At 40.2% G+C, this 18,403-nt stretch overlaps 1 protein-coding gene across 6 annotated transcripts in view, besides 4 other annotated features; it reads right to left on the reverse strand.

Moving 5' to 3' along the window:
* NMU (neuromedin U) overlaps positions 1-17,178 on the reverse strand; it is a 41,563-nt gene extending 24,385 nt beyond the window's left edge. For 4 of the 6 annotated variants that reach the window (XM_047449544.1, NM_001292045.2, NM_001292046.2 and 1 more), the window contains exons 1-2: positions 16,466-16,683; positions 10,787-10,845 (exon numbers count right to left, since the gene is read on the reverse strand). In XM_047449544.1, the coding sequence (XP_047305500.1) occupies positions 10,787-10,845; positions 16,466-16,577 (171 nt within the window). In that variant the 5' untranslated portion in view covers positions 16,578-16,683. Of the gene's footprint in view, positions 1-10,786; positions 10,846-16,181; positions 16,271-16,465; positions 16,684-16,928 lie in introns of those variants that run through there. The other 2 variants (NR_120489.2, XM_011534368.4) reach the window with 2 other exon arrangements.
* Positions 15,253-16,004: an enhancer, noted in NCBI's record as "NANOG-H3K4me1 hESC enhancer chr4:56501035-56501786 (GRCh37/hg19 assembly coordinates)". NCBI's record gives its function as "activates a minimal SCP1, AML or CMV promoter by ChIP-STARR-seq in primed H9 embryonic stem cells {active_cell/tissue: H9 hESC(primed)}" and the evidence as "EXISTENCE:reporter gene assay evidence [ECO:0000049][PMID:30033119]".
* Positions 16,005-16,756: an enhancer, noted in NCBI's record as "NANOG-H3K4me1 hESC enhancer chr4:56501787-56502538 (GRCh37/hg19 assembly coordinates)". NCBI's record gives its function as "activates a minimal SCP1, AML or CMV promoter by ChIP-STARR-seq in naive H9 embryonic stem cells {active_cell/tissue: H9 hESC(naive)}" and the evidence as "EXISTENCE:reporter gene assay evidence [ECO:0000049][PMID:30033119]".
* Positions 16,005-16,830: a biological region, named in NCBI's record as "NANOG-H3K4me1 hESC enhancer GRCh37_chr4:56501787-56502538".
* Positions 16,561-16,830: a silencer, noted in NCBI's record as "silent region_15444". NCBI's record gives its function as "represses an Ori minimal core promoter by ATAC-STARR-seq in GM12878 lymphoblastoid cells {active_cell/tissue: GM12878}" and the evidence as "EXISTENCE:reporter gene assay evidence [ECO:0000049][PMID:35858748]".
* Positions 17,179-18,403: the final 1,225 nt, after the last annotated feature.

Here is an 18,403-nt window from a genome sequence, read left to right on the forward strand (position 1 = left end):
TTAGGTAAACAAAGCAGCCGGGAAGCTCGAACTGGGTGGAGCCCACCACAGCTCAAGGAGGCCTGCCTGCCTCTGTAGGCTCCACCTCTGGGGGCAGGGCACAGACAAACAAAAAGACAGCAGTAACCTCTGCAGACTTAAGTGTCCCTGTCTGACAGCTTTGAATAGAGCAGTGGTTCTCCCAGCACGCAGCTGGAGATCTGAGAACTGGCAGACTGCCTCCTCAAGTGGGTCCCTGACCCCTGACCCCCGAGCAGCCTAACTGGGAGGCACCCCCCAGCAGGGGCACACTGACACCTCACAAGGCAGGGTATTCCAACAGACCTGCAGCTGAGGGCCCTGTCTGTTAGAAGGAAAACTAACAACCAGAAAGGACATCCACACCGAAAACCCATCTGTATATCACCATCATCAAAGACCAAAAGTAGATAAAACCACAAAGATGGGGAAAAAACAGAACAGAAAAACTGGAAACTCTAAAACGCAGAGCGCCTCTCCTCCTCCAAAGGAACGCAGTTCCTCACCAGCAACGGAACAAAGCTGGATGGAGAATGATTTTGACGAGCTGAGAGAAGAAGGCTTCAGACGATCAAATTACTCTGAGCTACGGGAGGACATTCAAACCAAAGGCAAAGAAGTTGAAAACTTTGAAAAAAATTTAGAAGAATGTATAACTAGAATAACCAATACAGAGAAGTGCTTAAAGGAGCTGATGGAGCTGAAAACCAAGGCTCGAGAACTACGTGAAGAATGCAGAAGCCTCAGGAGCCGATGCGATCAACTGGAAGAAAGGGTATCAGCAATGGAAGATGAAATGAATGAAATGAAGCGAGAAGGGAAGTTTAGAGAAAAAAGAATAAAAAGAAATGAGCAAAGCCTCCAAGAAATATGGGACTATGTGAAAAGACCAAATCTACGTCTGATTGGTGTACCTGAAAGTGATGTGGAGAATGGAACCAAGTTGGAAAACACTCTGCAGGATATTATCCAGGAGAACTTCCCCAATCTAGCAAGGCAGGCCAACGTTCAGATTCAGGAAATACAGAGAACGCCACAAAGATACTCCTCGAGAAGAGCAACACCAAGACACATAATTGTCAGATTCACCAAAGTTGAAATGAAGGAAAAAATGTTAAGGGCAGCCAGAGAGAAAGGTCGGGTTACCCTCAAAGGGAAGCCCATCAGACTAACAGCGTATCTCTCGGCAGAAACCCTACAAGCCAGAAGAGAGTGGGGGCCAATATTCAACATTCTTAAAGAAAAGAATTTTCAACCCAGAATTTCATATCCAGCCAAACTAAGCTTCATAAGTGAAGGAGAAATAAAATACTTTATAGACAAGCAAATGCTGAGAGATTTTGTCACCACCAGGCCTGCCCTAAAAGAGCTCCTGAAGGAAGCGCTAAACATGGAAAGGAACAACCAGTACCAGCCGCTGCAAAATCATGCCAAAATGTAAAGACCATCGAGACTAGGAAGAAACTGCATCAACTAATGAGCAAAATCACCAGCTAACATCATAATGACAGGATCAAATTCACACATAACAATATTAACTTTAAATATAAATGGACTAAATTCTCCAATTAAAAGACACAGACTGGCAAGTTGGATAAAGAGTCAAGACCCATCAGTGTGCTGTATTCAGGAAACCCATCTCACGTGCAGAGACACACATAGGCTCAAAATAAAAGGATGGAGGAAGATCTACCAAGCAAATGGAAAACAAAAAAAGGCAGGGGTTGCAATCCTAGTCTCTGATAAAACAGACTTTAAACCAACAAAGATCAAAAGAGACAAAGAAGGCCATTACATAATGGTAAAGGGATCAATTCAACAAGAGGAGCTAACTATCCTAAATATTTATGCACCCAATACAGGAGCACCCAGATTCATAAAGCAAGTCCTGAATGACCTACAAAGAGACTTAGACTCCCACACATTAATAATGGGAGACTTTAACACCCCACTGTCAACATTAGACAGATCAACGAGACAGAAAGTCAACAAGGATACCCAGGAATTGAACTCAGCTCTGCACCAAGCGGACCTAATAGACATCTACAGAACTCTCCACCCCAAATCAACAGAATATACATTTTTTTCAGCACCACACCACACCTATTCCAAAATTGACCACATACTTGGAAGTAAAGCTCTCCTCAGCAAATGTAAAAGAACAGAAATTATAACAAACTATCTCTCAGACCACAGTGCAATCAAACTAGAACTCAGGATTAAGAATCTCACTCAAAGCCGCTCAACTACATGGAAACTGAACAACCTGCTCCTGAATGACTACTGGGTACATAACGAAATGAAGGCAGAAATAAAGATGTTCTTTGAAACCAACGAGAACAAAGACACAACATACCAGAATCTCTGGGACACATTCAAAGCAGTGTGTAGAGGGAAATTTATAGCACTAAATGCCTACAAGAGAAAGCAGGAAAGATCCAAAATTCACACCCTAACATCACAATTAAAAGAACTAGAAAAGCAAGAGCAAACACATTCAAAAGCTAGCAGAAGGCAAGAAATAACTAAAATCAGAGCAGAACTGAAGGAAATAGAGACACAAAAAACCCTTCAAAAAATCAATGAATCCAGGAGCTGGTTTTTTGAAAGGATCAACAAAATTGATAGACCGCTAGCAAGACTAATAAAGAAAAAAAGAGAGAAGAATCAAATAGACACAATAAAAAATGATAAAGGGGATATCACCACCGATCCCACAGAAATACAAACTACCATCAGAGAATACTACAAACACCTCTATGCAAATAAACTAGAAAATCTAGAAGAAATGGATACATTCCTCGACACATACACTCTCCCAAGACTAAACCAGGAAGAAGTTGAATCTCTGAATAGACCAATAACAGGATCTGAAATTGTGGCAATAATCAATAGTTTACCAACCAAAAAGAGTCCAGGACCAGATGGATTCACAGCCAAATTCTACCAGAGGTACAAGGAGGAACTGGTACCATTCCTTCTGAAACTATTCCAATCAATAGAAAAAGAGGGAATCCTCCCTAACTCATTTTATGAGGCCAGCATCATTCTGATACCAAAGCCGGGCAGAGACACAACCAAAAAAGAGAATTTTAGACCAATATCCTTGATGAACATTGATGCAAAAATCCTCAATAAAATACTGGCAAACCGAATCCAGCAGCACATCAAAAAGCTTATCCACAATGATCAAGTGGGCTTCATCCCTGGGATGCAAGGCTGGTTCAATATACGCAAATCAATAAATGTAATCCAGCATATAAACAGAGCCAAAGACAAAAACCACATGATTATCTCAATAGATGCAGAAAAGGCCTTTGACAAAATTCAACAACCCTTCATGCTAAAAACTCTCAATAAATTAGGTATTGATGGGACGTATCTCAAAATAATAAGAGCTATCTATGACAAACCCACAGCCAATATCATACTGAATGGGCAAAAACTGGAAGCATTCCCTTTGAAAACTGGCACAAGACAGGGATGCCCTCTCTCACCGCTCCTATTCAACATAGTGTTGGAAGTTCTGGCCAGGGCAATCAGGCAGGAGAAGGAAATAAAGGGTATTCAATTAGGAAAAGAGGAAGTCAAATTGTCCCTGTTTGCAGACGACATGATTGTTTATCTAGAAAACCCCATCGTCTCAGCCCAAAATCTCCTTAAGCTGATAAGCAACTTCAGCAAAGTCTCAGGATACAAAATCAATGTACAAAAATCACAAGCATTCTTATACACCAACAACAGACAAACAGAGAGCCAAATCATGAGTGAACTCCCATTCACAATTGCTTCAAAGAGAATAAAATACCTAGGAATCCAACTTACAAGGGATGTGAAGGACCTCTTCAAGGAGAACTACAAACCACTGCTCAAGGAAATAAAAGAGGATACAAACAAATGGAAGAACATTCCATGCTCATGGGTAGGAAGAATCAATATCGTGAAAATGGCCATACTGCCCAAGGTAATTTACAGATTCAATGCCATCCCCATCAAGCTACCAATGACTTTCTTCACAGAATTGGAAAAAACTACTTTAAAGTTCATATGGAACCAAAAAAGAGCCCGCATCGCCAAGTCAATCCTAAGCCAAAAGAACAAAGCTGGAGGCATCACACTACCTGACTTCAAACTATACTACAAGGCTACAGTAACCAAAACAGCATGGTACTGGTACCAAAACAGAGATATAGATCAATGGAACAGAACAGAGCCCTCAGAAATAACGCCGCATATCTACAACTATCTGATCTTTGACAAACCTGAGAAAAACAAGCAATGGGGAAAGGATTCCCTATTTAATAAACGGTGCTGGGAAAACTGGCTAGCCATATGTAGAAAGCTGAAACTGGATCCCTTCCTTACACCTTATACAAAAATCAATTCAAGATGGATTAAAGAGTTAAATGTTAGACCTAAAACCATAAAAACCCTAGAAGAAAACCTAGGCATTACCATTCAGGACATAGGCATGGGCAAGAACTTCATGACTAAACACCAAAAGCAATGGCAACAAAAGCCAAAATTGACAAATGGGATCTAATTAAACTAAAGAGCTTCTGCACAGCAAAAGAAACTACCATCAGAGTGAACAGGCAACCTACAACATGGGAGAAAATTTCGCAACCTACTCATCTGACAAAGGGCTAATATCCAGAATCTACAATGAACTCAAACAAATTTACAAGAAAAAAACAAACAACCCCATCAAAAAGTGGGTGAAGGACATGAACAGACACTTCTCAAAAGAAGACATTTATGCAGCCAAAAAACACATGAAAAAATGCTCATCATCACTGGCCATCAGAGAAATGCAAATCAAAACCACTATGAGATATCATCTCACACCAGTTAGAATGGCAATCATTAAAAAGTCAGGAAACAACAGGTGCTGGAGAGGATGTGGAGAAATAGGAACACTTTTACACTGTTGGTGGGACTGTAAACTAGTTCAACCATTGTGGAAGTCAGTGTGGCGATTCCTCAGGGATCTAGAACTAGAAATACCATTTGACCCAGCCATCCCATTACTGGGTATATACCCAAATGACTATAAATCATGCTGCTATAAAGACACATGCACACGTATGTTTATTGCGGCATTATTCACAATAGCAAAGACTTGGAACCAACCCAAATGTCCAACAATGATAGACTGGATTAAGAAAATGTGGCACATATACACCATGGAATACTATGCAGCCATAAAAAATGATGAGTTCATGTCCTTTGTAGGGACATGGATGAAATTGGAAACCATCATTCTCAGTAAACTATCGCAAGAACAAAAAACCAAACACTGCATATTCTCACTCATAGGTGGGTATTGAACAATGAGATCACATGGACACAGGAAGGGGAATATCACACTCTGGGGACTGTGGTGGGGTGGGGGGAGGGGGGAGGGATAGCATTGGGAGATATACCTAATGCTAGATGACGCGTTAGTGGGTGCAGCGCACCAGCATGGCACATGTATACATATGTAACTAACCTGCACAAAGTGCACATGTACCCTAAAACTTAAAGTATAATTAAAAAAAAAAAAAAAAAAAAAAGAACTGATATTAGGCCTGAGTCACCTTGCCCAGCTGCATCTTAACTTCTTTAAATATATTTTTTTCTGTAAAAGAATGTATACTTTTTTTTTGCAAGTCTGAGTTTTTTCCAGCATTATCATCTAAAGTATTTTTCCAATTATTTTCCATGGAAATATAGAGTATTTCAAGCTAAAATAAATGTGTCTGTACTATACATTAATATCTGTTATCTAAGTCACTCTTCATCTTATTTATATTTCTAGCATGTACCTAGATATTCTATCAAGGCAGAGGCCCTTGTAATACACTTGATGAATTTCTATACTATTGAACACTGTTTTATACTTGGCACTTAGCATCTATCTTATCTTTTCCCTTATGTATTTTGTTGCGGGTGACCTAGGTACAAAGGGTACTCTTCTCAGTTCATAGCTCACTATCATCATTAGCCTTGCTTTACTTATTTATTCTTTTTATATTTCCATTTCCTACCCCCATTCCACCCTCCTATAGGCAACTCTTCCAGTGTATTTGAGGCATATCCTCCATTTGTATATGTTTTTGTAAAACCCATATTGTTGTTTTGTGTGCATGTATATTTCCTCACTTTTTTCCCACTTAACACTGTCCATTGAGACCTATCCATGTTGCTGGGTGTCTATCTAGTGTGTTGCTTCAAGTGCTGTAGTAGATTCTATGATGTGTGCCCACCACATGTTGCCTATCCACTCCCCAGTGACAGACAGCTGGGTTTCCTCCATTTCCTTCCACTACAAGCAAAGCTATAATCAACCTCCTTGAATCTGTCCTCCACTTATGGATCTGTGGGAGAATATCTTTGGGCTATCTACCCAGGAGAGGGAATGCTGGATCGTGGGGATATCTAGGTTGTTTTCCAGATGGCTCTACCAGTTGGCAGTCTGCCCAGCAATGCATGAGAATTTGTAGACCCCACATCCTTGTTAACATTTGCGATTAACTAGATTTCAATTGTTTTGCTAGTCTAATAGGTAGAAAGTGACACTTTGCTCTTGTCCCAATTTTCATTTCATTGTTACTAATGAACATCTTTATATGTTTTAGATGTTTGTTAACCTTTTGAACTTCCTCTTCTGTAAACTGTTCTTATCCTTTGACTATTTTTATTTTGAAGTCTTATCTTTATCCAATTGATTTGGTGTAGTTTCTTGTATATTCCAGAAAAGCAACCCCTTACCAGTTTTAGACATTGTCAATATCTTCTTTCAAAGGCTGGGCAGGGTGGCTCACACCTGTAATTCTAGCACTTTGGGAAGCCAAGGTGGGCGGATCACTTGAGGTCAAGAGTTTGAGACCAGCCTGGCCAACATGGCAAGACCCTGTCTCCACTTAAAATACAAAAAAATTAGCCGGCCGTGGTGGCACGTGCCTGTAGTCCCAGCTACTCAGGAGGCTGAGACACGAGAATCACTTGAACCCGAGGAGGGGGAGGTTGCAGTGAGCTGAGGTCATGCCACTGTACTCCAGCCTGGGCAACAGAGCGAGACCCTGTCTCAAAAACAAAAACAAAACAAACAAACAAAAAACCAACAAAGGCCCTTACCTTTTTCCATGTAGTCCTTTGCTGAAAGAAGTTTTATTTTTAATGTAATTTAATTCATGAATGTTTTTGGCCTTACGATTTATATTTGAAGTTTCTTACGATTTATATTTGAAGTTTCATCAAGAAGTTTTTCCCTGCTCCTAACAAAGATATTGCCCTATATGATTTTCTACTAACTCTATAATTTACCTTTTATATTTCTTTCTTTAGGGGTGAGGTGGCAAAGGCATTCATCCACCAACTCCCTTTGGTCCTCAACTGGGGTCTGCTGTCAGCGGTGCAGTCATTTATTCTCAGGCACTTCTGGCTGGCGCAAGCACAGGCAGCACAGGAAGAGCCATGGATGCTTGCAGTCAGAAACTATAAATTTCCAGTACCCTGGGATGGCAAATGCCAAAGGGATATGACAGGTACTGGTGGTGACTGCTATTCTCTCCAAGCTCTAGTCTCTGTTCCATTGGTTCATTCTGTCTGTTCTTGTGAAATTACCATGCCTTTTTTTTTTTATTACTGCAGTTTTTATACTATGTCTCAGTATCTGATAAGGCAAGTTCCCACGAGTAGCTGTTCATATTTAAAATGTTTTCAGCTAATTGTAGACCTTTATTTTTCCAAATCAATTTTAGGTTAAATTTTAAAGTTTTTTTTTTTAAAGTAAATGAAATTGTTTGGGATTGCATTGATTTTATGGGATTTATATTAATTAATGAGGAAAATTGATATTTTTATTATATTAAATTAATTGTTTCATCCAAGAGAGAATGTCGCTCCAAATATATATATCATCATCTATTTTCTTCATTAGAAATTAGTTTTCTACTCCATAAATTTAGAGTGTATTTTTGGTTAATTTCTAAATACTTACAGATTTTGTCACCATTGTGTGTACTACAATATTTTAAACTGTACTTTTACGTTACTTTTGCCTAGTGAAAAGAAATGTATATTGGTATTATATCCAAAATCCAAAAATCTCCTGAACTCTCAAACGAGTTCTAATAGTTCAAGAGCAAGAAGTTTGTTAATGCAATTCATTGCAGTTATAGACTAGAAGAGAAAAAGCATATTGCTTATCTCGATAGTGACACAAATAAAGTATTTAAGTTCACATTTTATTTAGGATTAACAAAACTCTTAGCAAGACAGGAAAATAAGAGAACTTTCTTAACTGGGTAAAGGTTATGTATCAAACTTCTAGAGCAAGTTTATACTTTATGGAAAAGCTTTAGATACATTTACTGTGTAAGATAGTAAGCAGGCCTTGGCCAGTGATACAAGGAAAGAAGAAATTGTTCCTTCAGTGCTTATCATATTACCACTGGACCTTTTTTGGCACAGCATATTTATCTAGGAGTTTATCCATTTCATCTAATTTCAAAATTATTACCAGATAGCCATCCATACTTTCTTTTTAACAGCTTTACTGAGATATAATCCACAAGCCATACAATTCACCCATTTAAAGTGTACAACTCAATGGTTTTTAGTGTATTTACAGAGTTGAGCAACCATCCATCACGCAGTCAATTATCCATAAAATTATTTTAAAACTTTTTTTATATCTCTATTTTTCTTGGGTTCTACCCTTTTTTGGTCTATATCTTGTTTTTTTGACTTCCCCCTGCCTTTTGAAATCAGTACTACCAGCGCTTAACTTACTGAAAGAACAAATATATGGTTTTGTTAAAACTGTTGCTCCGCTCTCCTTTTAAAATTTATTTCTGCCATTATTATTATTATTATTATTATTATTTATTTTTTGAGATGGAGTCTCACTCTGTCACCCAGGCTGGAGTGCAGTGGTGCCATCTCGGCTCACTGCAACCTCCGCTTCCCAGGCTCAAGTGATTCTCTTGCCTCAGCCTCCTGAGTAGCTGGGATTACAGGCACCATGCCCGGATAATTTTTGTGTTATTAGTAGACAAAGTTTTACTATGTTGGCCGGGCTGGTCTCGAGCTCCTGATCTTGTGATCCACCCACCTCAGCCTCACAAAGTGCTGGGATTACAGGTGTGAGCCACCACACCCGGCCTTATTTTTATTATTTACTTCATTCCTGTTTTTTTTTAATTTTCCCTGTTCTTTTTCACCTCATTTTTAGCAGAATGCTTAGCTTATTAATGTTTTTAAATTTTCTTCTCCCCAATAAATATATATGAAGCTAAAATTTCTCTCTAGCTACTGTTTTAGCTATAGCTTATACATTTTGAGTTATAATGTTTTTATTTTTTTCCCTGAAGGTCTATCAGTTGTTAAACAAATTTTGTAATTTTCTTTTTAGCCCAGGGTTATTTACCAAAATACTATATATATCCAAACAGAAGAGATATTTGTTATACTTTGTTATTAATTTCTAATTTTATTGCATTATAACTGGAAAACATTTGGAAGGCATATTTTTTCTAACTTATGGACTCTTCCTTTCTGTCTAACACATTCTGTTTTTCAGATGCTCCAATTATACACAACGAGAATGTGTATACTATTTAGTGCAGGTTTTAAACAATAGTTCTGTCTTTTTTTTTTCCTGAAATGGGGTTTCACTATGTTGTCCAGACTGGTCTTAAATTCCTGGGCTGAAGTGGTCGGGTGCGGTGGCTCCTGCCTGTAATCCCAGCACTTTGGGAGGCTGAGGTGGGTGGATCATGAGGTCAAGAGATGGAGACCATCCTGGCCAACATGGTGAAACCCCGTCTCTACTAAAAATACAAAAATTAGCTGGGCATGATGGTGTGCGCCTGTACTCCCAGCTACTTGGGAGGCTGAGGTGGGAGAATCGCTTGAACCCGGGAGGCGGAGGTTGCAGTGAGCGGAGATAGAGCCACTGCACTCCAGCATGGTGACAGCAAGACCATGTCTCAAAAAAAAAAAAAAAAAAAAAAAAATTCCTGGGCGGAAGTAATCCTCCCATTTCAGCCTCCCAAGTAGTGAAAAATATTTCCAGTAGCTCTAATTTATTAATTGTATGATTATGTCGTTGTTATAGCTACTTATGAGCTATCTGCTTTAACTGTCAGTTTTTGAGACAGGTGTATTAAACTCTCCAACTATAACTGTTGATTTACCTATTTTTTTCCCTGAAGGTCTATCAGTTGTTAAATAAATTTTAAGGTTACATTATTAGTTTATATTAATGATGTCTATATTTTCTTGTTCTGGTTTTCTTTTATTAACATATAAGATCCTTATTTGTCTGTTATGATGGTTCATTTGAATTCTATTTGATGAGATATATTCCCTTTCAGTTTATATTTGCTTGCTATATCATTTTCCATCCTTTTATACTTAGTCTTTTTTTTGTTTTCTGTTTTAAGTGTGATACTGATAGACAATATATTTCTGGATCTATTAAAAAAATCCAATCTTAGAATCTCTGTCTTTTAAGTACATACACATTTACTGTAACTACTCTGTTCTTGTATTACTCTATTATATCCTATTATTAGGACTTATTTCTGCTCTCTTATTTACAAAATTTTTGTTTCTTCTCTCCTTCTCTTTTATTTAATAAAAATAGTAATTCTGGGTTTTATTATTAGAGTGTTGGTAAAATCATAGTTCTCCCAAAGCTCAATTATACATTTTAACATGATAATTTCAAAGAAGGGTAAAGTTTCTACAAATTTGTGTGATGATAGTTCCTTACCTCATTCCACAACTGTAGCTGTTGTTCAGGCTGTAATCCTTGAGGTAATATTGGAGCACCTAAAAATAAAGTTGTAGCCACAGATTAATTTTATAGCATTTCTTCTAAAATTAAATATCCATATATAATTCTTTCTCGCACACTTTCTTCATTTTTCACTGTACATCATCACCCACCTATTTCAATATTTCAGCATTTGACTTAGTACAAGGAGACATAATTACTAAATAAACCTTAATAACATTACGAAGATATTACTCTCAAGAACGAATTACTTATGTCTACAGACAAATAGAAACACATCTCATGCTCATGAATTGGAAGAATGAATATTATGAAAATGACCATACTGCCCAAAGCAATCTACAGATTCAATGCAATTCCCATCAAAACACCAACATCATTTTTTACAGAACTAGAAAAAACAATCCTAAAATTCACATAAAACCAAAAAGAGCCCACACAGCCAAAGCAATACTAAGCAAAAAGAATACTTCTGGAGGCATCACATTACTGGACTTCAAATTATACTATAAGCCTATAGTTACCAAAACAGTATGGTACTGGTATAAAAATAGGCATTTAGACTAACGGAAAAGAATAGAGAACAAAGAAAGAAAGCCAAATACTTAAAACCAACTATTCTTCAACAAGTATACAAAAACATAAATTGGAGAAAGGACACCCTATTCAATAAATGGTGCTAGGAAAACTGACAAGCCACATACAGAAGAATGAAAGTGGATCCTTATCTCTCACCTTAAAAATCAACTCAAGACCTATCAAAGACTTAAATATAAGACTTGAGACCATAACAATTCTAGAAGGTCCATTGGAAAAACTCTTTTGGACATTGGATTAGGCAAAGAATTCATGACTAAAACCCCAAAAGCAAATGCAACAAAAACAAAAATAAATAAATGGGACCTAATTAAACTAAAAGGCTTTTGCACAGCAAAAGAAATAATTAGCAGAGTAAACAGACAACCCACAGAGTAGGAGAAAATATTTGCAAACTATGCATCCAACAAAGGACTAGTATCCAGAATCTATGAGGAACTCAAATCAGTGAGAAAAAACAATCCCATCAAAAAGTTGGCAAAGGACATGAATAGACATTTCTCAAAAGAAGATACACAAACAGCCAACAAACATATGAAAAAAATGCTCAGCATCACTAATCATCAGGGAAATGCAAATTAAAACCACAAGATAACACCTTACTCCTGCAAGAACAGCCATAATTAAAAAGTCAAAAAACAATAGATGTTGGCATGGATGTGTAAAAAGGGAAAACTTTTACACTACTGGTGGGAATGTAAACTAGTACAACCACTATGGAAAACAGTATGGAAATTCCTTAAAGAACCAAAAGTAGATCTACAGTTTGATCCAGCAATCCCATTACTGGGTATCCATCCAAAGGAAAAGAAGTCATTATATGAAAAAGACACATGCACACACATGTTTATAGCAGCACAATTTGCAACTGCAAAGATATGGAAACAACCTAAGTGCCTATTGACCAACAAGTGGATAAAGAAAATGTGGTCAATATATACACCATGGACTATCTCTCAGCCATAAAAAGAAACAAAGTAATGTCTTTTGCAGCAACTTGGATGGAGCCAGAGGCCATTATTTGAAGTGAAGGAATGGGAAACTAAATGCCATATGTTACCACTTATAAGTGGGAGCTAAGCTATGAGGACACAAAACATAGAGTAATGTAATGGACTTTGGGGACTCGGAGGTGGAGGCTAGGAGGGGGTTGGGGGATAAAAGACTACATATTGGGTACAGTGTACACCACTCGGATGATGGGTGCCCTAAAAACTCAGAAAATCAGTCTGGTTGATTGCATATCCTGATAGATTTTTTTTTCCTAATTCTACCATGTTTTAGGCAACTCTTGCCTTGAATTCATACAAGTTTTTACTATTATTTCATTTAAGTTCTAATAACAACAATAATAATGACAGTAATCAACTACATTTTCTGTGGTACTAAGCATTAGAAATAACTTATAAAGGTCATGCAGTCCATAAAAGAGTTGGTTTATTTCAGAACCTGACAGAATCCCCTTTCATGGGACAACTATTCAAAGTGGGTAAACAATCTTACACACTTCTCAATTATATATTTCTCACCCTACCACAAACATATATCCCAAAGTCACAGTTATCTGGTAGATCCTACCCTGAGCTCATTGTTTTCAGGAAGGGATAAAGCTGTGCTTCTCAAATTTCCATATAAAACACCTGGTGACCTCACTAAATGAGATTCTGTTTGACACAGCATTCCTGTTTAAATAATGCTAATTTTTATTCTTATACTTTTGACCATCCCCGACCCCCAGTAAAAGTGGAAGTTTCCACCTCAACTTCACTGTGTTCAGACACACCGCCTCATCAGAACCATGGAGAGTTTGCTTCTTTCCATTTCCCAAGCTTGCATGGGCCACTTAGAAAGGCCACTATGCCTAACTTAGCCCCAGGCACTTCCATAAAATAGAAAAAGGGTATTTTGTGGCTCTTCTAAAAAACACGTAAACACAGTTTCACTGTGGAAAAAAAAAAAAAAGGAGAGGAAACAAAATTAAAAAAAAATTCTATAATTTATAGAAAACGACTAATATCCTGGCTGGGTGCAGTGGCTCACACCTGTAATCCCAGCACTTTGAGAGGCCAAGGCGGGCATATCACCAGGTCAGGAGATTGAGACGATCCTGGCTAACATGGTGAAACCTCGTCTCTACTAAAAATACAAAAAAATTAGCCGGGCATGGTGGCGGGCACCTGTAGTCCCAGCTATTCGGGAGGCTGAGGCAGGAGAATGGCATGAACCCGGGAGGCGGAGCTTGCAGTGAGCCCAGATGGCACCACTGCACTCCGGCCTGGGCAACAGATCGAGATTCTGTCTCCAACAAAAAAGAAAAAAAAAAAAAAGAAAGCGACTAATATCCTATGACTGAACCCAAACATAAGGAGGAGTTATTCTTTTTTTTTGTCTATGTGTTAATTAGAGTCAATGTGATTTTCATTCTGGATATGGACTTCATACTGTCAAAGAGCAATACTGTAATTAGGTCACTTTCCATGTTTTCAGAGACAGTGCCTGTATCATAAAAACTGTACTGTTTTTGATAAGTTTCACTGAGAAACTTCAAGATATTTATACTTCATTACTATCTACTAAAGTGAAATCTTCATTCTTACACAGTATACGCTGGAAATAATAACTTGTATATCCGTAAGTACATTATGTATAAGAAAGACAGACCTGATTATTCTAAAAGTAGCACCAATTTTCTTTTCTCATTGTGAGTATGTACTTCACTGTCGGATTGGGAAGTGAGAAATCGTTACTGCCAAGTGAACATTAAGAATTATTCTATGAGCAAGAGGCCTGGGCAGGAAAAGACACTCCTTAACTTAGTCTTGACCATTTGATAACTTATTGTCACAGGCAAAATCAAGTAACAGTTTGTTGCAGATATTCAAAATGTGTTCCTCTTATAGGAAGTTTCCTTCTTTATTTTACTAGTGTTCTCTGAATAGTAAATTGTTTCCACCCACTGAATCTGTGGCTGACCCTTTATCTTCGCATGGCCATTGTATGCTCTAATTGTTTTTTGTTTGTTTGTTTTTTGCCAAGGATGCTGCATTTAGTGACACTTTTATTTTCCTCTGGCGTTGCGACATTTGTTATGTTGTTTTTCGAGGCATCCAGTTGCATCTTGCATGATGATTGATCATGGTAGATAATCTCTGGGTTTTGTTTATGTATGTCACGCCCCCCTCGGTGCCATCTTTAGGGATTCAGGACTGGGGCAGATCACATGGCTATTCACCCTCTGCCCTTCCTACCACATTTTTAAAGAGATAAAATTAGTTTTTTTAGTATTCAGAGCAGGTCTGAAGGGGAATGAAGACACAAAAGGGCAATCTAGGGGCCTCTGGGTAGTAAAAGAAGTATCTCATTCTTTTACTTGAAAAATATTGGGGATGTTTATGAGACGATTGGTATGTCAGCAGATATGCTCTTTTGGAAATATAAACCAAGACTCATCTCTTTTAGGAACCAGCTGCTGCCTTCTACAGTTACTGTTCAATCAACAGCAGTCTGAAATTCTCCAACCCACCCCAAGGCAGTTATCTCTGATGCAAATTTCACTGCATGCAAAATTCACTGCAAGCATATAGCATGCAAATGCATAGAAAGCCATTTTCTTTACATAGCAAAGTCAGTTTTCAAACTATGCTTATCAGCATCCTTAAGAAGGCAGATAAAGATTACCATCCTAAGTTACCAATAATATATTTAAAATCCTAAAAGATGAACATTTACCTTGGGGGAAAGTCATGTTGTATCACTACTGGCTATGTGGAGAAGGTTTAGGTCTGCTAGCTTCTGACTGCCTGGATTTCAAAGCCAAGTTATCTTGCTTTTCAAGTAGGGGAGTCTCTCTTTCTGTCTCTCTCTCTCTCACACACACACCCCCCTCCAATGCCTCAGGAAAGGACAAAATCAAAACAATGAGAGGAGAATAATAAAAATACATAGATTAGGAAAAGAATAATGGTCTCTATTTCCCCATCTCTAATTGAGGGCTGGACTACAGGCTCTGCAGTTGTGATTTTAAGTACCCAACGTTCTGAACAATGACACAACAGTCTGCCACTTTTACCTCACGACAGGAGAGCAGAGGGAAGCTAAGAGAACCTTCTGCCAAGCTAGAAAATGTATAGCCAGGCAGTGGTTGGCAATGGAGGGAACCCTGACTTGGGGATGAATGACGGTCCCCATAAGGCACCTGCAAACGTAAGCTGTAACCCTTAGAGAACCCAGAAAATGATATCTCCCCTGGAACGTTTGCGTTCTGCTCGGCTATGTCTCCAAAGCTTCAGATCTCCTTCCCTGACCTTGCGTTTCCTATTTCTTCCCTCTAAGCCAAGCTCAGCATGTCCCTATTGTTATCAAATCACATCTGCCATCACTTGCTGTAGCTGTCGCACTGCCTGAAAGCCTGGCTTGCACACTTGCCTCTCCGACTTTATGTGATGAGAAGTTCTCTATTCCTTTTCCTGATCTAGTGCCTGAAAACCGATAAGGCACAAAGCCCACTCCTTCCCTTCTAAGCGGTTAGCGTGGGGCCCGTTGTACCGCTCAGGTTTATCTCAGCATAACACTAGCTCACTCACCAAAGAGGCTGAGCACTCGCCAAGTTTACCTTGCCTCAGCGGATGAAGTATCAAACTCACTCTTGTTTTGCTTCAACCATCAATCTCTCCAATAATTGCAATCAAAGGGAAAACATTTTAATGTTCACTATTTTAGTACCCGTTTCCACGGGCCGGGGGGTCTGGAAATCCCGAGGATGAGGGAACCCTACCAGTCTCCATCTATCGCAGCCGGCCCGGCGCAGGGTCTCCGCTGGGCATCAACGAGCAGGGCCTGGGTATTTCGGCCCTGGCCGGGCCCCTTGCTCCTACGTCGCTAGTTGCCCTGGGGAGGCGACCTGTGCCTGGGAGGCGGGAAACCCCGCGGCACCAGAGAAGCCAAGTGAAGTCCCAGAAGCCAAGTAAAGGTGAGAGAAAGAGGGTGGAGGAGAGCGGTGAGTGGAGCCAGAGAGAGGCGCGCATGGCGTGGAAGCGGCCGGGTGCGGGGCCGTCTTACCTCGGCAGGCGCCCGCGCACCAGGCGAGCAGCAGCAGCAGCAGCAGGAGCGGGGACGCCGCGGCCACCTGTCCGGCGGGCGACCTGGGGCGGCAGCTCTCTGTTCGCAGCATCTCGGCGGCTGCGGGAGGCTCGGTGCTAGGGACGCTGCGCTGCGCCACGCGTAGCTGGTGCTCCACCTGGTGCCCTGGCTGTGCCTCGGGGCCCGGACACAGGACTGAGCGCCCGGCGAGCCGCCAACTTTTAAATCTCGCGCACAAGTGGGCTGGGCTGCGCGGTCCCCGCCGCGCGTCACCTCGCCGCCTGCCGCCCCCGGCCTACCTCGCCTCACCCCGCCCCGCTGCCTGCCCGCGCCCCACCCTGCAGCAGGACCCGAGCCCCCTAGCCTGAGTTTCTGACCCGAGTACCACGCATTTTCGCTCTGGGATAAAGAGAATGGAATTTAAATAATGCACCATTCCCACCTTTGGAAGGACTGGACTGGGAACAGGGTGTGGATGGCAAACCAGGCCGTCTGAGTTTTTAAACTTGGTAGTGGCGACGCTCTCTGGTGTCCTGGGTCTACGTGGGACACCCTTTCTCCTTCACCTCTTCCAGAGCTCCGGCAGTCACTAGTACGCACCTCTGTGGAAGCACCTCTGTTTTGTTCCCCGGTTTATCCCCAGTTCCAAGCGCAATGCCTGGTGCATATCAGGGCAGTGTTGGTTCAACTGTGATGTTGATGCTATCGACCCTCCCCCAAATTCCTGCAAAATCACAGACCCCTTAGGGAAATGCAGTTGCCTGTTAATAAAGGACAAAGAAGAAAGGACTGCTGGGGCTTGACCACACACACACATTTCTAACTGGTCTGGAGCGCTGGTTATCCTACGGATTTCCAAGCCTAAGGAAACTCCTTTTTCTATGCATTTCTGCTGCTATTGCATCCTGATTTCTACCGTGACCTGACTCCCTCTTTCCATCTCTATACTTTCCTTTATTTCCTTGATTGGAAACGTTCAGGAAGCAGCCTCTTCCAGGACACCAGCTAATACATCCTAATTTCCTTCTATAGAAAGAGGGAAAACTGGTCTTTATTATTATTATTATTATTATTTCAAGTTACGGGGTTACATGCGCAGGATGTGCAGGTTTGTTCCATAGCTAAACGTGTTCCATGGTGGTTTGCTACACCTATCAACCCGTCAGCTAGGAATTAAGCCCAGCATGCATTAGCTATTTTTCCTGATGCTCCTCCTGCCCCCGCACCGCCCCTCCCCGCCCCCTCTCCCCCGCGCCATAGGCCCCAGTGTGTGAAAACCGGCGAAAACCGGTCTTATTTGACCTCCCTTTGAAAGGTGAGGAACGCTGAGGAAAGGGCAGGAAGTACATTAACATTTTTGAAGGGGCATTTTTGCGTCAGGCATTTTCTCATGCTATTTTATTTAATATTCATGGCATCTCTGGGATGTAAAAGTACTGAAATTCTCATTATGATGCCAGGAGAGATTAAACAATCTGCTCAAGGCTGTCAGCATGTAAGGAAGCCACTGGCTATTCTACTCCACCAAGATACTTCTCCCTCAATCAAGAGTTTTAATGTATCAGGCACATACAGTTCAACCTACTGTAAACAAGACCCGAGCTTTGGGGATACAAGATTTAGTGACAGTTACAATTTGGTAAAGGACCCTAAACCCTTACTCAAATAGCTGAATTACAAGGCAGATTGGGATAGTGCTCTGTCAGAAATACGAAGAGAGGCAGGAGAAAACCTGATAGATTAGGTAAAAAAAAAATAATGGCCACCTTCTTTAAGTTCTTTATACACAGGAAGCATGTAAGAAAGGCTGGATTTTAGCGTCTGGTCCAAGTTCAAGGATGGGTGAGAAAATACTGGATTCAAGGTTCTTGTACTTTGATTTATTACCAAAGTAGTAAAAAAAAAAAAAAAAAAAAA

Source organism: Homo sapiens, chromosome 4 (genome assembly GCF_000001405.40).
Source record: "Homo sapiens chromosome 4, GRCh38.p14 Primary Assembly".
NCBI classification, from domain to species: domain Eukaryota; kingdom Metazoa; phylum Chordata; class Mammalia; order Primates; family Hominidae; genus Homo; species Homo sapiens.